This window comes from Homo sapiens, chromosome 10 (assembly GCF_000001405.40).
Source record: "Homo sapiens chromosome 10, GRCh38.p14 Primary Assembly".
In the NCBI taxonomy this organism is placed as follows: domain Eukaryota; kingdom Metazoa; phylum Chordata; class Mammalia; order Primates; family Hominidae; genus Homo; species Homo sapiens.
Genome location: NC_000010.11, coordinates 28,471,938 through 28,498,972, shown reverse-complemented (window position 1 = coordinate 28,498,972; position 27,035 = coordinate 28,471,938). Strand labels below are relative to the sequence as shown.

The window sequence follows — 27,035 nt, the reverse complement described above, 5'->3', positions numbered from 1 at the left end:
TAGTCTTAGCTACAATTGTTTAATAATTTCCCCTATGTATTTAAGGGAAATAAAAGGTTATGTTTCCCTTCAGAAGAACCATGGGATTGCTGCATGATGCACCTAATTGTCCACACTTTTGGAAAACAAACTTGAAGAAAAATAAAGACAGCATTAAACTTATATATTTATGTGACTAGAATACCTCCTGCCTATGAAACTTGTTAGAGGATTAAATACATTTAAAGAAATAATCCAGAAATGCTTCTATGAAATTTACCAAATAGAGTGTTAAGTACCTGAAAAGAAATAAGACTGGGAGGCTGAGGCAGGTGGATCACTTGAGCCTAGGACTTTGAGACCAGCCTGGGCAACACGGCGAAACCCCATCTCTACAAAACAAAAACAAAAGCAAAAACAAAGTAAAAACTAGCCAGGCATGGGGGTGCACCCGTATTCCCAGCTACTGGAGGGGCTGAGGTGGGAGGATTGTTTGAGCCTGGGAGGCTGAGGCCACAGTGAGCTGTAATCACACCACTGTACATCAGACTGGGCGACAGAGTGAGATCATGTCTCAAAACAAAACAAAACAAAACATGATGGGTGCGGTGGCTCACGCCTGTAATCTCAGCACTTGGGGAGGCTGAGGCGGGTGGATCACCTGAGGTCGGGAGTTCGAGACCAGCCTGACCAACATGGAGAAATCCTGTCTCTACTAAAAATACAAAATTAGCCAGGTGTGGTGGCACATGCCTGTCACCCCAGCTACTCGGGAGGCTGAGGCAGGAGAATCACTTGAACCTAGGAGGCAGAGGTTGCAGTGAGCTGAGATCACGCCATTGCACTTCAGCCTGGGCAACAAGAGTGAAACTCCCTCTATTAAAAAAAAGAAAAAGAAATAAGATAGCAGAATCTTACTCTCCAAATCTGCTTTCTTTTTCTAATATGTACTTTAAAAAAATATGCAGTATTCCTCTTGGTAAAGCATTAACTTAGTGATTAGATTGTGCATGGCAGTGGCAGCCAGTGCATCATTAATCTTAGAGGACTGTTCACTCTCATCAGTTGTCAAAAGGTAATGAAGACTGAGAATTTCTCAGCCCTATTGATAACACATGAGTACAGGCTGATTTGTATTTATTCCATGATCCTATTTTAGTCCCTTTTGGATAATGGAATCCCAATGTGTTATCTGTCTTTTTCTTCCTTCCTTCCTTCCTTCCTTCCTTCCTTCCTTCCTTCCTTCCTTCCCTTCCTCCTTCCTTCCCTCCTTCCTTCTTTCCTTCCCTTCCTCCCTCTCTTTCTCTCTCTCTCCTTCTTCCTTCCTTTTCTATCTCTTTCTTCTTTCTTTCTTTCTTTTCTTTCTTTTTATTTCTCTTTCTTTCTTTCTTTCGTTCTTTCTTTCTTTCTCTCTCTCTTTCTCTCTCTCTGTCTCTCTTTCTCTCTCTCTCTTTCTCTTTCTTTCTTTCATCAGGATCTCACTCTATTGCCCAAGCTGGAGTGCAGTGATGCAATCATAGCTTACTGCAGCCTCAAACTCCAGGGCTCAAGCGAGCCTCCTATCTCAGCCTCCTGAGTAGCTGGTACTACAGGTGTGCACCACTACACCTAGCTATTTTTTAAAAAATTTTTGTAGAGACGGGGGTCTCACTATGTTGCCCAGGATGATCTTGAACTTCTGTCCTCAAGCAATCCACTTGCTTCGACCTGTCAAAGTGCTGGGATTATAGGCGTAAGCCACCACACCCAGCCCTGATTGGATTATTTCTTTTTAAAATATCTCTTATACTTTCAAGTAAATTGACATTTGTGAACTTTCTATTTCTATCATTTATTGTTATTATAGAAATTATCATCTTAAAGTTTGAACATGTAAACATCCAGCTTCTGGAGATTGTGGTCTACCTAATTCTGAACCCTGGGAGTTTGCATCTAGGGTTGCTTAACCCTATCTGTAAAGTAGGAAAGTTCCAGCTCAGACTCTGGAATAATTCACATCCTCTGTATGTGGTGGATAAGAAACAAGATCTTCAGCCCAACACTGGGTCATCTGATCCTGTTTCCCCAGTATATCCAGGAAGTTGATTCCTTATTTAGACTTCTGTGCCTGAGTCCTTGCCTTCCACCTTGGTACATCAGAAACCTGACTGTGGCTTTTCTTCCTATGCCTCACTGACCCCGTTCCCTGCAAATTGGACTCTCCTCTATCTCCCCAATTCCATCTAGCCTAGTGAATGAGTTGCTCCTCTGCACGTCACTTTCTGTGACCAAATTCCAACAGCTACTTTTAGACCTTTCTGGCATTATCTCCCCTTTCTTCTGGAGCTCTTCCAAAGGTCTGACATTTGGACATCTACCAGTCACCTGCCTTTGTTGACAAAAATGTGGTAGAGCTAGAATGCAAGACCAGATTTCATCACCTCCAAAGACTGCTTGTCTGCACCAGATCCAACCACTGTTTATATGGACATTTTGAAAAGGTTCCCCAGATGAAGGGCCAAGATAGTGGCTCACCCCTATAATCCCAGCACTTTGGGAGGCTGAGGCAAAAGGATCGCTTGAGGCCAGAAGTTCAAGATCACCCTGGACAACAAAGTGAGACCCTGCCTCTAAAAATAAAAGTAAATAATAAATGTTTACAAATGTTCCCCAAATGAGAGATTTAGCAGAGCAAGTTCTGCAAAGAAGGCCTCTTGCAAACACTGGCTTCCTAAACAGTCAACTCACTGGGGCAAGAGCCAACTCTCTTAATCTAGTTGATGTCAGCGTAACTGAACGCCTGTTAGTCGAGGTGAGACACTGTCCCCTAGCAGGGCTAGGGCATGGAGGTAAAGATGACCCATGATAAGGTGGCCTCATTTGGTAGCAAAGGCAAATTGAAGATTTCTTGATCCATAAATCAGTCTATAAAAAAAAAGTAAGACTTTGGACTAACAGTCACTAGATTTTGGATACCTGGGGGGTTTTTTGTTTTGTTTTTTGTTTTGTTTTGTTTTTGCCTGTTTGCAGGCATCCAACACTCCTCTCGAATCGGTGTCTTGCAGAAGCAGAAGAAAAGTAATACATCTATTGTTTTTGAAATGAAAGCAGGAATTATTTTGCTGCAGAGCTATAGCTTAACATTTTTAGCAAAATGTGGATCCTTCTTCTCAATCTTCATTTAGGATGCTGTGACTACAACCCTCTGTTTAGTTAGTGGAATTGAGAACAAGGCCCAGGTGGATGATTGAGGACTAAACCCCAAACTTGCCTTGGATCACTCCACTGTTTCAGGTAAGATCAGAGAGTAGTTAACTCTGAGTTATACAAATTGTTGTCTGCAGTAGCATGAGAATACAACTTTCAGATCTCCTACTGCAGGAAGCATAATTTATTTCCAGCCCTAGCTGCTGGTGTGCCCAGGATTGAGGCCACACTTCCTGTGGGCTGCTCCCAGTCAGTGACTGAGTATGGCAGGGATATCAAGGAGGCCCCTTCCTGGGAGGCAGGGGCTCCTCTAATGGGCAACTTAGGTTCACTGACTCCCTTTTGACCTTGCTGAAACTTTCTGAGAACTACAAGGCAGTCTATGGCCTGTCTTTCCTCCTTCCTCCCTCCCTCCCTCCCTTCCTTCCTTCCTTTCTTTCTCCCTCCCTCTTTTTCTCTTTTCCTCTTTCCGTCTCCAGTTTCTTCCATTCTTCCTTCCTTCCCTTCTCCTCCCTCCTCTCCCTTCTCTCTTCCTTCCTCCCTCCCTCACTTCCTTCCTTCCTTCCTTCCTTCTTTCCCTCCTTCCCTCTGTCTTCCCAGGGGGCAGACGTGTGTCATGATCTGATGGCTCTCCTATCACCCTCTTGTTTCCTTCTCATTATCCCTCCCCAGTGCCCCAGTATTTTCGCCAATTAATCTCTTATCCAGCTAATCCTTTTTTGGCATTTGCTTGTCAGAGAACCTGGACTAAATCATTATTTAACTAATTTGTTTTGCATGTGTAATTTAGGATCAAACATCACTTCTGAGTTCGGGGGCACATATCATTCTTTAGAAGGGGGAAGACCTAATGCTGAAAAACAAAAACAAAAACAAAAACAAAAACCCAATATGTGCATTCTATGGATCAACTGACTCTGTTGACCTAAACATGTAGAACAGTATTCCAGTTCTTAATACTTTAAAATCTCTAGAGCAAGGCCTTATAGCTTGGAAGAAAACCATTGGAAAGCCAAAAGGAAAGAAGTGGCACCAGCCAATTCTCCTCATTCTAGGCCCAGGGCAATGAACTTAGGGAGGAGGTCGTGCAAACTGGAAACCATAGCCTTGTTTCATGGCTTAACTGGGGGTGGTTAAGGCTCTGAGAGGCAGGTTGTCACCTCATTATCTATCCACCCATGCACACAATGAAGTCCATGGAGAGCTCACTGTATGACCAGCACTGGTGGGCCCTGAAGATAACAGAGGTTATCCTCAAGAAACTCAAGTCTATGGAGAAGATAGGCTTGGAAACAGACTAATGACACAATACAAGCCCTAAAACTGAGATGTGAACTGACTTGGGAAGTATGGTAAGGACACCTCCGACTGCTTGGCAGATGGAAAGGCATTTAAAGTGGAAACTGAAGGACAGAAGAGATGGTCAGACAGTGAAGAGAAGTGACACTAAGGAGCCCCATTCACAGAGAGCAAAATAGATACATCTACAGTCTTTTTCTTCTTTTTCTTTTTTTTCAGCCAGGGTCTCACTCTGTCACCCAGGCTGGAGTGCAGTGGCGCGATCTCAGCTCACTGCTGTCTCAACGTTCCAGGCTCAAGTGATCCTCCCACCTCAGCCTCCCAAGTAGCTGGTACCACAGGTGGATGCCACCATGCCCAGCTAATTTTTATCTTATTTTTGGTAGAGATGAGGTCTCCCTATGTTACCCAGGCTGGTCTCTGACTCCTGGCCCGAAGTGATCCTCCTGCCTCAGCCTCCCAAAGTGCTGAGATTACGGGTATGAGTCACTGTGCCTGGATTTTTTTTTTCTCACACAAAGAGAGAGGAATTAAGTTTCTTCTCTTAAGGGAGGCAGTATCAGAGGATTTGTGGATATATCTTTAAAAACATCATATTGTTTTGAAAGACTACCACTCTGAAACAGACATAATTAGCATAAATGTAGAAAAATGCACAAACTACTTGCTTCAAGTACTTGTCACAAACTACTTCAGTGGATAGACTTCATGCCAAGACTTATCTAGAAGGTAAGGACAGGTTTTTTTGTGTTGTTTTGTTTTGTTTATTTTTTTGAGACAGAGTCTCTGTCGCTCAGGCTGGAGTGCAGCGGCATGATCTTAGCTCACTGCAACCTGTGCCTCCTGGGTTCAAGCCATTCTCCTGCCTCAACCTCCCAAATAGCTGGGATTACAGGCGCCCACCACCTCATCTGGCTAATTTTTGTGTTTTTAGTAGATACGGGGTTTCACCATGCTGGCCAGGCTGCTCTCAAACTCCCGAGCTCAAGTGATCCATCCACCTCAGCCTCCCAGAGTGCTAGGATTACAGGTGTGAGCCACCACGCCCGGCTGACAATGGCAGTATTTATCCTTCCATTGTCATTACTGCTTAGCATTGATCTGCTCACACATGGGGTCTTGAAATCTGAATTGCTTTACTACAGAGAATAAAATATTGATAAAGAGATTGGTATCCATGCAACATATTCTTTAAAAACAGGATTCTATCTTTAATAATTCAAAATAAAAAATAAGTCCCTAAAGGGCTGTATTTGAAATTGTAGCCCCACAACATACAGAGCTGGTGACACAATTTGCAACCTGCATATTTGCTGAATTGCTTGAGCGTGTATAGAGAGCATTAGAACGTGTATATAGAGCGTGTATAGAGAGATTACAGAGGCTTCTTATTTATTTATGTATTTATTTTAGAGATAGATTCTTGCTCTGTCACCCAGGCTGGAGTGCAGTGACACAATCCTAGCTCACTGCAGCCTCAAACTCCTGGGCTCAAGCAATCCTCCCACCTGAACCTCCCAAGTAGCTGGGACTGCAGATTCAGGCCACCACATGCCTAGCTAATTTTTAAAATTGTTTGTAGAGATGGGGTCTCGCTGTGTTGCCCAGGCTGGTCTCGAACTCCTGGCCTCAAGTGATTCTCCTGCCTCAGCCTTACAATGTGTTGAGATTACAGGCGTGAGCCACTGGGCCCTGCCTCCAGAGGCTTCTGTATGGATTCCGCTGTGATCGCTATGCACTAACACCCTGGGCCTCTCAGTCACAGAATGGAATGGGACGGGTTATAGAGCTGGTCAGAGCGGGTGTGGCAGATAATAAGCATCTACTTGTTGTTTTACAATGCCCTCAAAATTCTATGCAAGATCATAATCAAGTAGAGAATGCTCAAAAGAGCATTTTCCACTTCCTCCCAAAGCAATTTGCTAACATACGCACTGTTAATAATTCTCTTAAGTAGCTTAATTTTTCCTGTGTATAATGATAATTGAATTTTTTTCCTCTCAGATGTATTCATCTGTTTCTTCCTGTGTTTCTTTTTCCTTTCTGATGAGAGAATGAACCCTCAAACCGCTTCTAATTTAAGCTAACACCGCACAGGCTTTTTTGTAATATTGTATTTGCTTTCCTTCCTCTTCTCTTTCCCCAGAGTGTATTACAGAAGAGTTGTAACTATTTCTCAATTTTAAACAGCTGCTTTCTGGGGAAACAAACCAGCCGGAGAATAAACTTAAAAAAAAAAAAAAAAAAAGATCAGCACCTTCTCTCTTGCTTTTTATTTGTTTTATTTGTTATTCGTCATGTCTGTGGTTATGGCTCCTCCAGGAGACCACAGAATTTTATCAAAAGAATTGCACATAAATCACAGCCTATTTTTACCAAAACTGGGATTTCTCTTTTTTTTGAGACGTAGTCTTGCTCTGTCACCCAGGCTGGAGTGCAGTGGCGCGATCTCGGCTCACTGCAAGCTCTGACTCCCAGGTTCACGCCATTCTCCGCCTCAGCCTCCGCAGTAGCTGGGACTACAGGTGCCCACCACCACACCCGACTAAATTTTGTATTTTTTTTTTAGTAGAGACAGGGTTTCACCATGTTAGCCAGGATGGTCTCGATTTCCTGACCTCGTGATCCACCCCCCTCAGCCTCCCAAAGTGCTGGGATTATAGGCGTGAGCCACCGCGCCCGGCCTCAAAACTGGGATTTCTGTGTATCAGGGGCTTCCTAGTATTACATACTTTTCTCAGGTCATTTTTCTTTCTTTCTTCTCTTTTTCTTTTTTTGTTTGAGACTGAATCTGGCTCTGTCACCCAGGCTGGAGTACAGTGGCGTGATCTCGGCTCACTGCAACCTCCACCTCCCAGGTTCAAGCGATTCTCCTGCCTCAGCCTCCTCAGTAGCTGGGATTACAGGCACCCACCACCATGCCTAGTTAATTTTTGTATTTTTAGTAGAGATGGGGTTTCACTATGTTGGCCAGGCTGGTCTTCAATTCCTGACCTCAAGTGATCCACCTGCCTTGGCCTCCTAAAGTGCTGGGGTTACAGGTGTGAGCCACTGCACCTGGCCAATTCATTTTTCTTTCAGAATCTCTTCATTCTCCCTCCCCTTTCCTCTCCCTGCCTCCCTCCCTCTCTCTATTGAGGCTGAGGGAGTTGACATTCTTCTTTGCATTTCTGGTGGTCACTAGCAGTTCCACCATCAACATTACCTTCACTGCTGAGTAACTGCACAATTTCTCCTCCTCCCTTCCAGTCCTACACAAACACAAGTGCCTATGAGTTGGGAGGTTTTTCCTTTTGTCTTTGTGGGAGGGGTGGGGCAGTTGTAGTTTCATTTGAGTTTGCTCATGTGTATTTTCCCACTCTAGTGTAGGAGCAAATAGGAGCTAAACTAAGTACCAACAAAATATTTAACATTTACCAGCAGTGAACTGGCGCTGAAAGGACCAGGGTTGTTCCCTGACATCGCTTCTTGCTTGGCCAGTGAGAGGCTTGTGCTGTGTAACTGACATAGCCCCTTGGACTCCAAGTTCACTTTCCTGTATATCTAAGTCTTCCATTTTTTAAAGATTGTCATTTTCAAAATGAAAGTCAACAATAATTACCAGTTTAATTATTTATTTTATCACACTAGCTCCTTATTAACAGTCAACAATCAGAAGTCTCTCAAGAAATTGTACCATATCGAAGACAGTTTTCTGAAAGTGGATGCAATTGTTGTCAGCATAGTAAGGCAAATATGAATATTAAGGTTGGGTTGCCCCAGGAAGCAGTATCTGAGATGGAAACTAGTGGGCAGGATCTTTATTAAGGAGTGTTCCTGACCACTATGGAGAACAGTTTGGAGGTTCCTCAAAAAATTAAAAATAGAGCTACCATATGACTCAGCAATCCCACTGCTGTTATATACCCCAAAGAAACGAAATTAGTATATTGAAGAGGTATCTGCACTCTCTTGTTTGTTGCAGCACTGCTCACAATAGCCAGGATTTGAAAGCAACCTAAGTGTCCATAAACATATGAATGGATAAAGAAAACATGGCACATATACACAATGGAGTACTATTCAGCTATAAAAAAGCATGAGATCCTGTCATTTGCAACAACATGGATGGAACTGAAGATCATTATGTTAAGTGAAATAAGCCAGGCACAGAAAGACAAACATGACATGTTCTCACTCATTTGTGGGATCTAAAAATCAAAACAATTGAACTCATGGACATAGAGAGTAGAAGGATAGTTACTAGAGGCTGGGAAGGTTAGTGAGGGGGCCGGGGGGAGGTGGAGATGTTTAATGAGTTCAAAAAATAGTTAGCAACAATGAATAAGACCTATAATTTGATAGCACAACAGGGTGACTATAGTCAATAACAACTTAATTGTACATTTTAAAATAACTAAAAGAGGCCGGGCGTGGTGGCTCACGCCTGTAATCCCAGCACTTTGGGAGGCCGAGGCGGGCAGATCACAAGGTCAGGAGATCGAGACCATCCTGGCTAACACAGTGAAACCCGGTCTCTACTAAAAAAATACAAAAAAAAAAAAAAAAATTAGCCGGGCCTGGTGGCGGGCGCCTGTAGTCCCAGCCACTCGGGAGGCTGAGGCAGGAGAATGGCGTGAACCCGGGAGGCGGAGTTTGCAGTGAGCCGAGATTGCACCACTGCACTCCAGCCTGGGCTACAGAGCGAGACTCTGTCTCCAAAAAAAATAAATAAATAAACTAAAAGAGTATAACTGTATTATTTGTAACACAAAGGATAAATGCTTGAGGGGACCGATTCCCCATTCTCCATGATATGATTACTATGCATTTCACGCCTGTATCAATACAGCTCATATACCCCATAAATATATGCACCTGTACACCTGCTATGTACCCATACAATTTTTTTTAAAATATTTTTTTAAAGGAGTGTTCCTGGGAGCTTACCTTGAGAAGGAAGGAGAGAGGACAGGGAGGATTAGGCAAAGGGAGAAGTTGGGCTCGGATGGAGTTTTGACAAATGCTGTAATCACAGAGAGCTCTGAACCCAGGAAGGCCTTCCAGAGCTGTCGCAGTTGAGTGAGAGGCTGTGTCAATTAGTCACTGGACATGGGCCACCCTGGGAAGGGCGAATGACCGTGGGTAAGGTTTTTCAGCTGAGGCAATTCCGAAAATGACAGCTGTCTCCTGGCAGAACCTCCCACAGCTCTGGGACTGAGGCCTTCATTCCTGAAGGGGAACCTGGGTGGTACATTACAGTGTTCACTACAGCCGGCATGCCCTTTTGCAAGAAGAGCACACCAAATTCTGTGTCTGAAAGTGGAGAACGCACATGACCTGTGGCAAGGTCATCTCTGTGGTGCAGGCAAAGCCTCTGCACCCTGAGACTGGTCCATGGTCACCAGGCAAGCTCTGATCATAGCAGTCAGAGAAAGAAGAGTAGAGAAAGAAGTTCATAATCCCCTGCACCACCTCTGAGTCTCTTCCATTATTCTAACTTTCCAATGACAACTCAGCTGACACTCGACCTCTCACGCTTGAGCAGGGGAAGAGTTGGCTTTCCAGCTGGAACGAAGACCCAGCCACATGCCTGCATTCACACCTCTTCCAGTCTCTCTCTCTTTCTTTCTTTCCTTCTTTCTTTCTTTCTTTCTTTCTTTCTTTCTTTCTTTCTTTCTTTCTTTCTTTCTTTCTTTCTTTCTTTCTTTCTCTTTCTTTCCTTCTTTCTTTCTTCCTCCCTCTCTCTTTCTTTCTTTCTTTTTTCTTTCTCTCTCTCTTTCTTTCTTTCTGACAGAGTCTTGCTCTGTCACCCAGGCTGGAGTGCAGTGGCACGATCTCAGCTCACTGCAACCTCCACCTCCTGGGTTCAAGCAATTCTCTGCCTCAGCCTCCTGAGTAGCTGGGATTACAGGCGGCCACAACCACACCCAGCTAATTTTTGTATTTTTGGTAGAGACAGGGTTTCACCATCTTGGCCAGGCTGGTCTTGAATTCCTGACCTCATGATCCACCTGCCTCGGCCTCCCAAAGTGCTGGGATTACAGGCGTGAACCACCACACCCAGCCCCAGTCTTTTTCTTTTTTAATATATATTTTAAAATATGGGGTCTCACTACATTGCCCAGGCTGGTCCAAAACTCCTGGGCCAAAGCAATCCTCTGGCCTCAACCTCCCAAGTACCCAGGACTACAGGCGCAGCCATCACACCCAGCTCTCCCAGTCTTACACCTTCCCTCAGATGTCACCCAAACAAATCTTTTCCCTTTCTCACACTTAAGTCCTATTTACTTTCCTTTTGTGATAACCCAAAAATATGGGCCAATGTGAGGAAGGGGTGACTTTTCTGGAACTATAATTCCCCCTGGCCTTTTTTTTTTCTCTCCCCTTGTAGCCAATTGACCCTGATAATGGAATACTCTTATCAACACCCTTTTAATGGAATATGGCTGTCAAGAATCCCCACCTACACCATGTTTTTCTAATGTCATTTTGGAGAAGCAATATCAAAAATAGATACCACCTTCTGACATTCTGGAATGATTTGCATTAAACTCACAAAGGTAAATAGAAGAATAAGGCAGAACTACCTAAAAACCATGATCAATCCTTTATGTCAGGACAAGAGAATGTATTCATATTTCCCTTTGAAGTTTTCTTTCAGAGTTGAGCTTTGTAAACACGCGTATTGGAATATGTTACAGGTTCTGCTACGGAAGCACCAGGGATTCTCTCTAGGTCCTGCTGGTCACACAGAAAGCCAATCACTGACACAATGAATATTGCCAAGGGAGAAAGGTTTTTTAAAAAAAATTTTGTTTATTTATTTATTTATTTATTTTTTGAGACAGAGTCTCGCTCTCTCTCCCAGTCTGGAGTGCAGTGGTGCGATCTCAGCTCACTGCAAGCTCCACCTCCTGGGTTCACACTATTCTCCTGCCTCAGCCTCCCCAGTAGCTGGGACCACAGGCGCCCGCCACCACGCCCGGCTAATTTTTTGTATTTTTAGTAGAGACGGGGTTTCAACATGTTAGCCAGGATGGTCTCAATCTCCTGACCTCATGATCCGCTTGCCTCAGCCTCCCAAAGTGCTGGGATTACAGGTGTGAGCCACCGCGCTGGGCCAAGAAAGGCTTTAATCGGGTGCTGCAGTCAAGGAGATGGGAGCTCATTCTCAAATCCATCTCCCTGATGACTAAAAGTAGGGGTTTATATAGCAGAGAGGAAATGTAACAATGTGTAAGAAAACAGGAAGTAGGGAGGGGCTAGGAAACAATCACGACAAATTAGGGGTCCACATGTCATTGGATGTGGTTGTCTGGTGAGTTTAATTTCTTTTTCTTTTTTTTTTTTTTGAGAGGCCTGAAGTTGATTTCTTAAGGAAGGAACTCACATAAAACAAATGTAAGTTTCAACGTTTAAGACCAGAAGGGTCAATTTTTGTTTATCAAAAAAAAAAAAGAAAACAAAACAAAAAACCCAAAACTCTCTATGGGATTATTGGGTCAGTTTAGTTCTGTGACTTGTTTGTATTTACAGAAGAATCTTCTAACTTTATATTTTATTTGAAATCTTTGGCTTTGAGCATTGAATAATGACAGATCACTACCAGTCATTTTAGTCTGACTAGAATGAAGTAGGGCTTTCTGTGTATACAGTGGGAAAGTAGTTGGACTGAGTCAGTGAGGAAGAGCCGAATGGGAGTTGAGATTCTTTTCTATTTTCTTAGACAGATAAGAAATTGAGAGGACCTGAAAGACCTTTGATGAGATAAATGATATAGTGTTGAAGTCAGAAGGTTTTCTTCTATTTATTTATTTAAGACAGGGCCTCGGCTGGGCGCGGTGGCTCACACCTGTAATCCCAGCACTTTAGGAGGCCGAGGCAGATAGATCTCGAGGTCAAGAGATCAAGACCATCCTGGCCAACATGGTGAAACCCCGTCTCTACTAAAAATACAAAAATTAGCTGGGCATGGTGGCATACATCTGTAGTCCCAGCTACTTGGGAGGCTGAGGCAGGAGAATCGCTTGAACCCAGGAGGTGGAGGTTGCAGTGAGCCGAGATCACACCACTGCACTCCAGCCTGGTGACAGAACCAGATTCTGTCTCAAAACAAACAAACAAACAAACAAACAAACAAAAAACTAGACAGGGTCTCCCTGCATCTCCCAGACTGGAGTGCGGTGGCGCAATCATAGCTCACTGCAGTCTCCACCTCCCAGGCTCAAGTGTTCCTTCCACCTGAGCCTCCTGAGTAGCTGGGTGGACAGGTGTGTGCCACCACATCTGGCTACTTTAGAACAATTTTTTTTTTTTTTTTTGTAGAGGCAGGGTCCCTATGTTGCTTAGGCTGGTCTTGAACCCCCAGCCTCAAGTGATGCTTCCATCTCGCCCTCTCAAAGGGCTGGGATTACAGGCTTGAGCCATCATGTCTGGCCAGTTTTCTTCTATTTTAAAAGGAATTTTAAAGTAATGAGAGAGAAAGGAAAGCATAGAGAGCAAGTACTGCAATGATAGGAAGAAATAAAAATATGCACAAAAAAAATCAGTAAGCCGTGTAAACGGATCTCTCAAAAGAAAAAGATGGAAAAGAAGAAGTAATCCTTTGGAGGCATCAGTTCAATCTCCTAACGCTAATTCATAATATTTATGATTTGAATTTCTGTTTTGCTTATGAGATAATACTAATTTTTAAATTTTTGGTTGTCTTGGAGTTCCATCAAGTTTTATACTGGTGACATCGAGTGCTAAAAGCTTATCCATTCTAAAAAGACTGCTGGATACAGCCACAGGCCAAAACTGCTAGTCTTAACATCCTTCCTCTATTTCTTACTTGTCCGTAGAAGAGAAGCAATTAATTGAGGAGGCAATAGACGCTTAATAGATTTTATCTGTCTTTGTCACATAGCTAATAAGCATTAAAGCCAGTACGTCTTTAATCCAAGTATGGGTTATCCCAAAGTCCATGCTCTTTCCACCACCTTAGCCTCATATTTAATAAAGATTTCTGAGTCAACATCAAGAACCTGTTATTGAAAAGACCTAAAAAAAATGCCAGAGTCAGATTTTTAAGGGGCGACTGAATTTCAGAGGAATACATCAGGGAAAGTGAACTGAAGACTTTTAGTTGAGGAAAGAATATCTGATTCTTAAAGAAATTACTTAATTTGAAATTCTAAGTATAGTATAGCTGTGATTTTCCAAGGAGAGTGTTCTTAAATTGAATCAGATTCTGAAATATATCGACAACACAGAAAAATGTGTGATTTATATGCTAAATGATTAGACAAACAAGGCATAGACAAACAGAAAATAGAAACCAGAGGTTATGCTTCCATAAATAAAGTAAAGGAGACAAATTGAAATAAAAATAAGATAAAAAAAAGAAAAGGAACAGAATAGAGCAAAGCAGTTCTTGCTACCTCTTTTTAAAATCTTTTCCCTACTTTTCGTGGCCCAACACTTGTGTTTGCTGCAGAGAAACAAATGCTGGCCTTGAGACTCAAATAACTACAGTTGACCCTTGAAAAACATGGGTTTGAACTGCAAGATCCACTTATACATGGACTTTTTCCACCTCTGCCACCCCTGAGACAGCAAGACCAACCCCTCCTCTTCCCCATCCTCCCTAGCCTACTCAACATGAAGATGACGAGGATGAAGACTTTTATGATGATCCACTTCCATTTAATGAATAGTAACTATATTTTCTCTTCCTTATGACTTTCTTAATAACATTTATTTTATCTAGCTTACTTTATTGTAAGAATACTGTCTATAATATGCAGAACCAACATACAAAATATATATTAATAATTGCCTGTTTATGTTATTGATAAGACTCCTGGTTAACAGCAGGCTATTAGTAGCTAAGTTTGGAGGAGTCAAAAGTTATATATGGATTTTCAACTGCGTGGGGTTCAGCACCCCTGATATGGTTTAGCTGTGTCCCCACCCAAATCTCATTTTGAATTGTACTTCCCATAATCCCCAGTGTCATGGGAGGGACCTGGTGGGAGGTAATTGAATCATGGGGGCCGGTGCTGTTCTCGTGATAGTGAATACGTCTCAGGAGATCTGATGGTTTTATAAGGGCAGTTTCCCTGCACATGCTCTCTTGCCTGTGGCCATGTAAGACAGGCCTTTGCTCTTCCTTTGCCTTCTTCCACGATTGTGAGGCCTCCCTAGCCATGTGGAACTGAATCTGTTAAACCCCTTTTCCTTTATAGATTACCTAGTCTCAGGTATTTCTTCACAGCAGTGTGAAAATGAACTAATACAGCCCCTGACAAAGGTCAGCTCTAATACCAAGGGGTGTAGAGGGAGCTTAGTCCTTCTTTCTTCTGCTCTTGGTCCTTCTTTCTTTCTTCTGTTAAAGACCTGATTGTGAACCTGAGACATCCTGGTTGATACAACCAGAAAGATCAGGAGAGGATTGTAAAGGGAATAACTTTTTCTTGGTGTGAATCTACGTTATTTGATCCTCATCCAAAAGGCAATTGTGTCTCAACTGTTGGGTAATGCTGCCCCACAGCAATCAGTAGCAAGTAGTTACTGACTCAGTTAATACCCTCAAATTATGTCTTTGATATTAATCTCAAGGATCATAGAAGATACTAGATAATTCTAGAAGACACTAGAAGATAATTCTTGCATAAGGAAACATAATATCTACTCATGTACTAGCATGAAACAATTAGCACTTTCTCAACAACAACAACAACAACACTAACAACAACAAAGTCACTTTGGAAGGCTGAGGAAGGATGATCACTTGAGTTCAGGAGTTTGAGACCAGCCTGGACAACATAATGAGACCTCCAAAATTAAAAAATTTGACTGGGTGCAATAGCTGACACCTGTAATCCCAGCACTTTGGGAGGCCAAGGCAGGAGGATTGCTTGAGCCCAGGAGTTTGAGACCAGCCTTGGCGACATAGTGAGACCTTGTTGCTAAAAAAACAACACACACACACACACACACACACACACACACACATATAGTTTTTGTTTTTTAAACAGAGCCTCACTGTGTGGCCCAGGCTGGAGTGAAGTGGCATGATCTCGGCTCACTGCAACCTCTGCCTCTCTGGTTCAAGCAATTCTCATGCCTCAGCCTCCCGAGTAGCTGGAACTGCAGGTGCCCACCACCACACCTAGTTAATTTTTGTATTTTTTAGTGGAGATGGGGTTTCACCATGTTGGTCAAGCTGGTCCCAATCTCCTGACCTCATGTGATCCGCCCATCTCAGCCTCCAAAGTGCTGGAATTACAGGCGTAAGCCACCGCACCCAGCCAAAAATACATACACCTTTTACTTCCAAGAGAAGTTGGTCTTTGCTAATACTCTTCACAAGGCAAACTGGAATTGTCCTTGGAATTGGAGACTGGGTTGGGAGAGGAGGAAAGGCACTTCTACTGTCAGAAGGCGGAAGTGCTGGCACCATGTTTAAGATGAGCCCTGTGTTCAATATCAGCATATATGGCAGAACTGAGCCACAACCAGAGGTGTGTGAGATCCTTAGGAATTAAAAATGAGATTCTGACTCAACAATAAATAATGTAGAAACCTGCATTGTTTAAAGTACATATGTATTTTGGATTTAAGAGAAATTTGAGGTTTCCTGTCATGGTTAATGGTAGGGATATGAATTTTTAAAAAGTGAATTCTTGTCAGAAGATGTAGCAGAGCAAGTTCTGGATTTTTTCTCTGGTCAACCACTAAATGATTCACTTTTTGTCTTGGTTACTTTTTTCCAAGTGTTTTCCCAAGGGTTTTGTAGTACTCTTCTTTCACCTACAGAAAGTTTTGTCTCTCTTTTTTCTTTTCTTTTTCTTCCTTCTCAATCTGTCACCCAGGCTGGAATACAGTGGCATGATCTCAGCTCATTGCAACCTCTGCCTCCTGGGTTCAAGCAATTCTCCTGCCTCAGCCTCCCAAGTAGCTGAGATTACAGGCACCCACCACCATGCCCAGCTAATTTTTGTATTTTTAGTAGAGACCAGGTTTCACCATGTTGGCTAGGCTGGTCTTGAACTCCTGGGCTCAAGTGATCCATCTGCCTCACTTCCCAAAGTACTGGGATTATAGGTGTGAGCCACCTCACCTGGCTTCTTTTTTGCACAATTTCAAATGTGGCAAAATTAGTTGCAAAGATAGGAGTTAATTTTAGGAGCCGATATTCTAATAAAGCTCAGATTATAGAACTGTACACTTACCATTACTTAATGTTAAATTAATCTAAGACACTCAAGTACACTGATGCATGAACAAGAAATAGGGGTTTCAATTGATTAGTTAGAATAAGACTAGGTTATGCTGCAATGACAAATAAAATTTCCATGACATATTTACTGGCTCACATCCACTTTAGTGGCTATACATCCACTGAAGGTTGACAGGGGCTTTGATCCTCAGACCATAAGAGACTGAAGCTGACATTGGCTCACTATCTTGTTACACTACCATCTCAGCACACATCTCAAAGGACACTACAAAGGGCATGGTGTGGAGGACTCACAAACCAAATCCTCCTCACAGCCTGGTGGCCAGACCTAGTCACATGGCTCCAACTTAACGGCAAGAGCTACAAAAAGAGAGGAGTACCAGAGATGGTGATTCTTCTCATTGCTACCACACCATGTTATTTGAAAAATAATCTGTGTTATATGTAGACTGTATGAGTATTGCTATCATTTTAGAAACATGCTTAATGGACTTTTTATTAAAAAGTCATGAGGGAGCTGGGCGTGGTTGCTCATGCTTGTAATCCCAGCACTTGGGAGGCCAAGGTGGGTGGGTCATTTGAGGTCAGGAGTTCGAGACCAACCTGGCCAACATGGTGAAACCCCACCTCTACTAAGAATACAAAAAATTAGCCGGGCATGGTGGCACGTGCCTATAATCCCAGCTACTTGGGAGGTTAAATCACAAGAATCACTTGAACCTGGGATGCAGAAGTCCCAGTCAGCTGAGATTGCACCATGGCACTCCAGCCTGGGTGACACAGCAAGATTTCGTCTTAAAAAAAAAAAAAGTCATCATGGGAAGAGAGTCACAGTTTCAACTTACACAGAGTTGAGCTTTGATATAAGAATTCTTGCCTGGTGCAGTGGCTCACACATGTAATCCCAGCACTTTGGGAGGCTGAAGTAGGAGGATTGCTTGAGCTCAGGGGTTCGAGGCTGCAGTGAGCTATGAGTGGCACGGTACCCCAGCCTGGGTGACAGAACAAGACCGTGTCTCTAAAAGAAAACAAATAACTCTTGTAATTACAGAAGTCTGTACATTTTCATAAGTAGTGGAATCATTGGAGAGCTGGTCCCTATCCCTTAAGATTTTAGCACAGTGAGTCTGAGGTGCAGTCCGGGAATTTAAATTTTAACAAGCACTTCTGGGGCTTTTCATGCAAGTGGTCTTCAGGGTTTGATAAACACATGAGCACTGGTTTCTGCTTTCTGACAGTGAAGTGTCAAGGCTTCAGCTTGTGTGTGCGCATGATATTTTATTTTGACGAGTGGGGTGCTAAGAAGCAGATGGCTGTTTCTTCTAGCACATTGATCTTCACAAGTTGAAAGCCTCAGTGGACATGGATCCCAAGGCTTCAAAGGTGTGTGGACAAAAGCAGCTGAAAGTGAGAGAAAGTAGAAAGCACAGTGCAAGAAGCTGCGGAGGATGCAAAAGCCATGAGCAGGTGCGGAGGAAGAATGGAAATGAGGGTGAAAAACATCCCAGTGGACAAACCATGTCGCTGGAGAGAGGGATTAACTTATCTGGGTCAACATATGGTCTGGTGGAAAGAGAACATGCTGAAAGCATTCCACAATATGGCAAAGGATTTTGTGATGGTTTTATTTAGAACCACTTGACTGAGAAGCAAAGATGGGTCTGAGAAGGGGCAAAGTCCTGCTGAACTCCCTGTCATTGGAAATGTGATCATTTGCTAAAGAATTAATCAGAGACGTACATGAGTATTTATGTTCAAAGTTTTTGCAGCATCTTTGTAATTATGAAAAATTGGAAATCACCTAAGTGTATGCCACTTGGAAATTGGTTAAGAACATTAGGCTTCATCCATGTGATGGGATGTTATGTAATCATTAAAAGGGTTGTTGGCTCACGCCTATAGACTCTGTATTTTGGGAGGCTGAGGCGGGAGGATTACTTAAGGTCAGGAGTTCAAGACCAGCCTGGACAACATAGGCAGACTCTGTTTTTCCAAAAAAAAAAAAGCCAGGTGTGGTGGTGCATTCCTGTAGTCTCAACTATTTGGGAGGCTGAGGTGGGAGGATCACCTGGGCCCGGGAGGTTGAGGCTTCAGTGAGCTATGATCATGCCACTGCACTCCAGCCTGTGTGACAGAGCAAGAACATGTCTCAAAAAAATAAATAAATAAATAAATAAATAAATAAATAAACAAAACAAAAAAACAACAAGTGGTATTGGAACATCCAGTAAAGGCAGTAAAATTAACAGATTTACAAAATTTCCTTCTAACACTGACTGGAATGAAGAAAACAAGATATACCAAAAGAAACATCCTCCAACACTGAATCTAGGAAATTTTTCCAACCTCATACCACAGACTTCAAGACATCTAAATCCAAATACAAGACACCCAATGCATCCAAATAAAAAACAATTAGGTCTGAATTGAAATAAAATTCTGGGAACCAACCCACAACTCCCTTTTTGGAGTGAGCTGCAGCACGTGGTGAGAGAAGGCTGCATTTCTAAAAAATCCCACTAGTACTTCTCACTTCGGAGGAACAGGAAATAGGGGCCTGAGCTGGCAAGAGAAAAGATCTGGAATGTTCTGCTTGGGGGCCCTTTTCCCCTGCTGTACAGCTAAACATCAATCCAAGGCCACAGTGGTGGGAGAGAGTACAGAAATAGGCTTCTAGCAGCAATTGTCCCTGAGGGCCAGGCAGCTGTGACATAGCAAGCTGGCTGGAGAAAATTACTTGTGGCCACAACAGACAAGGCGTTCACACGCTGCTGGGCTGGGATCCAGCTTCATATCTGATCCGCCAGAGTGGGGAGACAAACCCAACCCTCCAGACCCACTGCCCAGCTATGGGACAGGGTCTGTCCCTTAGGGACTGGGGACCCTAGTCAAGGGTTTCATCAAAATCAGAAATAAGATGAATGGAAAAATAGGCCAGGCATGGCGGCTCACACCTGTAATCCCAGCACTTTGGGAGGCCGAGGTGGGCGGATCACTAGATGTCAGGAGTTTGAGACCAGCCTGGCCAACATGATGAAACCTCATCTCTACCAAAAAATACAAAAATTAACTGGGTGTGGTGGAACACGCCTGTAATTCCAGCTACTCAGGAGGCTGAGGCACGAGAATTGCTTGAACCCGGGAGGCAGATATTGCAGTGAGTTGAAGTTGCACTCTAGCCTGGGCAATAGAGAGAGATTCAAAAAGGAAAAAGAGTTCCCAGCTTTGACTGCACATAGACCCACTTTCCTCCCCACCCTTCTCAGACAGCTTTGGGACCAACAAATAAAAGTGATTTTGATCCAAGCCCCAGCTCATATTCCATAGAGAAGATGCAAATTGCATGCAGGTAAACAGAGAGATAAGCAAAAGAGACCACAGCAGTATTATTTAGGGGGAATAGTGGGCCCATGGAGAACTGCCACTATTTCAAAATGACTAAGCAACAAGAAACACAGTGTGGTGTCTGTGCAAGAATTCTGCCTCTCATCTAAAAAAGAAGGAAGAGGAAGAAAGGAGCTTAAAACGTGCAAGACAAAGAATTCTCTCTGGAATAAAATTTCAGAAAATTGTTTCTACTCCTAAGCAAATTAAGAAGACACATAAAATCAAAATAATGGAATGGAGAGGATCTCTGAAATACCTGGGACTTAAATATACACAGTAGTTTGAAGAGATGGAAGAGACTCCTCATTGTCTCCCATTAGGAAGGGCCACATACATTTTATGAAGCCATGACTTTTTTTTTTTCCGCTTTAGAGGTAGGGTCTTGCTCTGTCACCCAGGCTGGAGTGCAGTGGTGCAGTCATAGCTCTCTGCAGCCTCCAACTCCTGGGAAGTCCTGTGCTTTATAGGATATTTAGCTCCACCCTGGCCTCTACCCCTAGACATCAGCGGCATTCTCCTCTTCCCACACACAGTTGGGAGAAATAAAAATGTCTCTAGATATTGCCAAATATTCCCTGGTTGTTGGGGGGTGGGGGGCAGGTAAAATCACCCCCAGTTGAGAACCACTGTTTTAGAGATTAAGTAGCTTGCCCAGGTCTCATAAGAGAGAAGGGGTCGGATTGTTCGTTTGTTTGTTTTAGTACTTTATTGTTGCTGTATTTTTTTTCTTTTTTCTCTTTAGAGATGAAGTCTCACTTTGTCACCTGGAATGGAGTGCAGTGACATGATCTCGGGTCATTGCAGCCTTGACCTCCCAGGCTCAAGCAATCCTTCCACCTCAGCCTCCTGAGTAGCTGGAACTACAAGCACATGCCACCACAACTGGCTATTTTTGTATTTTTTTGTAGAGATAGGGTTTTGTCTTGTTGCATAGGCTGGTCTCGAATTCCTGAGCTGAGGCAATCCTCCCATCTTGTTCTCCCAAAGTGCTGGGATTACAGGCGCAAGCCATCACGCCAGGACTGTATTTTGTATTTCTTTGATAACAAGGCCATTATTTTATTGTAGGCTCATTAATCATTTGAGTTCCTTTATTTCAGATAATTTTCTTTTTTTATTTTTATTTTTTTGAGACAGAGTCTCCCTCTGTCCCCAAGGCTGGAGTGCAGTGGCATGATATCGGCTCACTGCAAGCTCTGCCTCCCGGGTTCACGCCATTCTCCTGCCTCAGCCTCCCGAACAGCTGGAACTACAGGCGCCCACCACCATGCCCAGCTAATTTTTTGTATATTTCGTAGAGCCAAGGTTTCACCATGTTAGCCAGGATGGTCTCGATCTCCTGACCTCATGATCTGCCTGCCTTGGCCTCCCAGAGTGCTGGGATTACAGGCGTGAGCCACCGTGCCTGGCTTCTTTTTGTTTTTTTGAAACAGGGTCTCACTCTGTCACCCAGACTGGAGTGCAGTGGTGCAATCATAGCTTGGTGTAATCTTGACCCCCTGGGCTCAAGGAATCCTCTTGCCTTGGCCTCCTGAGTATCTGGGACTACAGGCATGAGCCACCATGCTATGCAAATTTAAAAAAAAAAATTTGTAGAGATGGGGGTCTCGCTTTTTATTGCCCAGGCTGGTTTTTTTTTTTTTTTTCTTTTAGATTCAGGGGGTGCATATGCGGGTTTGTTACATGGATATGTTGTGTGATGCTAGGGTTTGGGCTTCTGTTGAGCCCATCACCTGAATAGTGAGCATAGTATCCCATAGGTAGTTTTTCAACCCTTGCCTCCCTCCCTTGCCCATTTTGGAGATGCCAGTGTCTGTTGTTCCCCATCTTTATGTCCATGTGTACCCAATGTTTATCTCCCACTTATAAGAACATGCGGTATTTGGTTTTCTGTTTCTGTTTTGCTGCAAAAGACATGATTTCATTCTTTCTGATGGTTGCAGGAGTCAGATTTTGAATCCAGGTCTGAATCAAAGCTTATGCCTTTTGACCGGGCACAGTGGCTCATGCCTGTAATCCCAACACTTTGGGAGGCTGAGGCAGGCTGATCACTTGAGACCAGAAGTTCGAGACCAACCTAGGCAACATGGTGAAACCCTGTCTCTACTAAAAATACAAAAATTAGCCAGGCATGGTGGCACATACCTGTAATTCCAGGTGCTTGAGAGGCTGACACACTAGGATTGCTTGAACCTGGGAGGCAGAGGTTGCAGTGAGCCCAGATTGTGCCACTGCACTCCAGGCTGGGTGACAGAGCAAGACTCTGTCTCAAAAAAAAAAATTAAAAAGCTTATGCCTTTTGCCGTCATGCACTTCCCTGTCTTTTCCAACTTCACCTCCTGCACGTCTTCCCCCTGCCTTCAGGTATGCTATACTCTTCCTCCTGCCATGGTTTCTGCCCTAACCTCAGCCTGGAACTTTCTTCCTTTCCCGACCTGACTTGGACAATTCTGATCATTTATCAACAGATAGCCAGAGTTGTCACCTAGGGCAGCCCCAACTCCAAATCCTAAATTCAACGACATCAGCCTCTGACCACAGCCTCTGTGCCCTCCACTGCCTGCCTCTCACCCAGGCTCTGCAGGGTTAAGACTGAATGTGCTTGTGTGCTATGATTTGCCTAGAGCCTAGGGTATAGAAGACCGGCTCTTGTTTGCTGAGTCGAATTAAGTTGAAGCCCACTACACTTCCTTCTCTATCTCATTGAGATATCTAGGACCTCAACCCTTCTTTTCTTCCCTCAGTTATTCATTGGAAAGTTATTTGCCAAATACCCTTGCCACATAGTCCCCATCGCAGTCAGGGTTCTCCAGAGAGACAGAACCAACAGGCTTCATATATGAGAGAGGATTTATTAGGGAAATTGGTTCATGTGATTATGGAGACTGAGAAGTCCCCACAACCAGCAATCTATAAGCTGGAAACCCTGAGATGCTGGTAGCATGGCTTAGTCCAAGTCTGAAGGCCTCCAAGCCAGGGAAGCTGATGGGGTGTAACTCTCAGTCCAAGGCCAAAGGCTGGAGACCCTGAGGGACTGCTGGTGTTAAGTATTCAGGCCAGGGAGCCTGAAGTTGTTGTCCAAGGACAGGAGATGAAGAGTGTGTCCCAGCTCCAGCAGATAGATGGACATATTGGTCTTTTCTCTGTTTCTATTCTCTCTGGGCCCCCATCAGATTGGATGGTGACCACGCTGAGGGCAGATCTTCCCTACCTCGTTTACAAAGACTCAGATGCTATCACCTCTGGAAACACCCTCACAGACACACCAAAAATAATGCTTTACCAGGTTTCTAGGCATTCTTTAATCCAGTCAAGTTGACATCAAAAATTAACCATCACACGAGGCAGGCAGATCACTTGAGGCCAGGAGTTTGAGACCAGCCTGGCCAACATGGTGAAATCTCGTCTCTACTAAAAATAAAGAAAATTAGTCAGGTGTGGTGGCATGTGCTCCACTTATAATCCCAGCTACTCAGGAGGCTGAGGCACGAGAATCACTTGAACCCCAGAGGTGGATGTTGCAGTGAGTCAAGATCGTGCCACGGCACTCCAGCCTGGGCGACAGAGGGAGACTCTGTCTCCAAATACAAATAAACAGACCAGGTGTGGTGGCTCATGCCTGTAATCCCAGCACTTTGGAGGGCCAAGGCAGGCAGACCACCTGAAGTCAGGAATTCAAGACCAGCCTGGCCAATATGGTGAAACCCCGTCCAAAAAAAAAAAAAAAAAGGAAGAAAGAAAGAAAGAAAACAAAAAATAAAAAAATAAATACCATAAAATAGATTTAACCATCACAGTCCCCACTCTCAGGAAGCGAGTCAGTGATAGAAGATGGAGATGAATTTTTTTTTTTTTTTTTTTTTGAGACGGAGTCTCGCTCTGTCGCCCAGGCTGTAGTGCAGTGGCGCAATCTCGGCTCACTGCAAGCTCCGCCTCCCGGGTTCACGCCATTCTCCTGCCTCAGCCTCCCAAGTAGCTGGGACTACAGGCGCCCACCACCACGCCCGGCTAATTTTTTTGTATTTTTAGTAGAGAAGGGGTTTCACCGTGGTCTCGATCTCCTGACCTCGTGATCCGCCGCCTCGGCCTCCCAAAGTGCTGGGATTACAAGCGTGAGCCACCGCGCCCGGCCTGCACATGAATCTTTATACTTTAATGGGGGCGAGTGGCAGAAAATAAATAGGCAGTTATTGCAATTTTATGGGATGTGCTATATGGGAGGTGGTGGTTTTGTTTGTTTGTTTTTCTATCCAGACTAGACTCCAATTGAATCACTTTCTTCCAAAGGTTCTTGAGTCCCACAACTTCTCTCCTCATCTTAACAGTTGCCTTGCAAACCACCAGACTGAGACGAACGTGCGCTAACCTTATGGCTTCACGTAGCTTCTCAGAAACTCCTCCAAAACTTGACCTCTCTCCTCAAATTTCCCCCACCTCTTGATGGGGAGGGGACTTTGCTTCCAAAAGGCCTGGCCAGAAACCGTCTTTCTTTCTCACCCATGCACTTCCCACCCGTTTCAGAGGCCAAGCTTTCCCTGAACCTGTCTCTCCTGAAACCTTGCTCCCGAATTACCTTCCCTCTGCCTCTGTGTTGTCATCTTCTCACGTCTCTCCATTCATGAAAATCTGTCCAGAACCCTTGGCTTCCCTCAAGCTACTATCTCACGTTTTCTTTCCTTTTCTATAGCCCATTTATTTGAAAACGCCATGTTCACTCATCATCTGCATTTCCTCACCTCAAAAAAGCTAGACTATCTTTGTTGGTGTCTGTAAGAACCTCCTCAGGCTGGGTACCGTGGCTCACACCTGTAATCCAAGCACTTTGGGAGGCCAAGGCGCGTGGATCACCTGAGGTCAGAAGTTCGAGACCAGCCTGGCCAACATGGCGAAACCCTGTCTCTACTAAAAATACAAAAAATTAGCCAGGCGTGGTGGTGGGCGCCTGTAGTCCCAGCTACTTGGGAGGCTGAGGCAGGAGAATGGCATGAACCTGGGAGGCGGAGCTTGCAGTGAGCAGAGATTGAGCCACTGCACTCCAGCCTGGGTGACAGAGCGAGACTCTGTCTCAAAAAAAAAAAAAAAAAAATTCCTTCTCCTGGCTCAGAAGCTCCTCCACTGAGCACCTTGTGACCCCCCGCCCCTGCCAGCAAGAGAAAAACCCGCTTTGACTGTAACTTTCCACTACCCACCCAAATCCTATAAAACTGCCCCACCCCTATCTTCCTTGCTGACTCTTTTTGGACTCAGCCTGCCTGCATCCAGGTGACTAAAAAGCTTTATTGCTCACACAAAGCCTGTTTGGTGGTCTCTTCACACAGATGCGCGTGACATGAATATATTCTTGCTAGAAAAAAATTGAACAATATGCGTGATGTGAAAAAAAGCTGCCCTATCCTTCAATCTCCCAACTGTAATCCCCGTCTCAGAGGTAGCTATTGTTTTCAATTTGGTGAATATCTTCCCAGATCTTTACTTCTTATATTTACTTACAAAGATGAGTGTATACACAAATACAGCTTTTTATGTATATGTGTGTTGGGTATGTATATATATGTGTTTATATAAGTAAGTGTCACATTATATGAGTTGTTCCATACCTTGCTTTTAAAAATTTATGTCTTGAGGGATTTTCACTTCAGAACAACATATATTTAACACATTTTTTAAAACGGGCTGGTTAGTATTCCTCACGGTGGAGACACAATCTTTGATTTAACCCCTCCCCTGTTGGCTGAAATTTAGGGTCTTTCCAATTATTTGGTATCATAAACAACATAACTCTGAAAATCCTTGTACTTCCCTTTTAATCCACATGGGCAATTATTTCTCTAAGGCAGATGGTGAGAAATAAAAGACAGGGGCTGAATTTTAAGTGCATTTTTGTTTCTTGTGTTTGTACATACTGTCCAAATGCCTCCCCTGAAGTCCTGACCATTTTTTTCCTTTGAGACCGAGTTTTGCTCCTGTTGCCCAGGTGGGAGTGCAATGGTGCGATCTCGGCTCACTGCAACCTCCGCCTCCCAGGTTCAAGCGATTCTCCTGCCTCAGCCTCCCAAGCAGCTGGGATTACAGGCATGCACCACCACGCCCAGCTAATTTTGTATTTTTAGTAGAGATGGGGTTTCTCCATATTGGTCAGTCTGGTCTCGAACTCCCGACCTCAGGTGATCTGCCCTCCTTGGCCTCCCAAAGTGCTGGGATTACAGGCATGAGCCACTGCGCCCAGCCAGTCGTGACCTTTTCTTGTGTATGTTGTGGGCTTCCCTAGAAGACAAGATCATTTTTTTTTTTTTTTTTTTTTGAGACGGAGTCTCACTCTGTCTCCCAGGCTGGAGTGCAGTGGTGCCATCTCGGCTTATTGCAACCTCTGCCTCCCAGGTTCAAGTGATTCTCCTGGCTCAGCCTCCTGAGTAGCTGGGATTAAAGGTGTGTGCCACCATGCCTGGCTAATTTTTTTTTTGTATTTTTAGTAGTGATGGGGTTTCGCCATGTTGGCCAGCTTGGTCTCAAACTCCTGACCTCAGGTGATCCACCCTCCTTGGCCTCCCAAAGTGCTGGGATTACAGGTGTGAGCCAAGACAAGGCAATATTTTTAAAGGAGTGACTTTTATTTAAAAATGACAAGCAGAATTTTGCCTCTGGAAGTTGAAACTCTAACTTTGGGGTCCTCTATTTCATTGTAACGTGGGTGTGAATCTCATGTCACCAGCTCAGATGTGCCAGACATATCACCATACTCCCAACCATTTCATTTGCACCTGAAATGAAGCCTCAGTCAAATTAGGGGCTATTAGTGAATTCCTGTGCCACTTAGTGTGGGGTTCGTTTGCATCCCCTAGGCCTGGTTGCTTGGTTGTGGCAGAAGACAGAGAGCCACTGGTGAGGAGTGGGGTGAGGATGGGTTTGGTGTTTTTTTTCTTGCTGTTAGCTACTCTCAGAGGCCACTGCAGGGGTGCATGCTCTCCCATCTGGTCCT

At 44.0% G+C, this 27,035-nt stretch overlaps 1 long non-coding RNA gene across 1 annotated transcript in view, besides 1 other annotated feature; it reads left to right on the top strand.

Annotated features, from left to right (window-relative positions):
• Nucleotides 1-3,159: 3,159 nt before the first annotated feature.
• The window catches only part of LINC02652 (long intergenic non-protein coding RNA 2652), a 62,806-nt gene continuing 38,930 nt past the window's right edge, over nucleotides 3,160-27,035 (top strand). The window contains exon 1 of the long non-coding RNA NR_134496.1: nucleotides 3,160-3,252. This is a non-coding gene — a long non-coding RNA (long intergenic non-protein coding RNA 2652). The remainder of the gene's footprint in view (nucleotides 3,253-27,035) is intronic.
• Nucleotides 5,242-5,811: an enhancer, noted in NCBI's record as "NANOG hESC enhancer chr10:28782091-28782660 (GRCh37/hg19 assembly coordinates)". NCBI's record gives its function as "activates a minimal SCP1, AML or CMV promoter by ChIP-STARR-seq in naive H9 embryonic stem cells {active_cell/tissue: H9 hESC(naive)}" and the evidence as "EXISTENCE:reporter gene assay evidence [ECO:0000049][PMID:30033119]".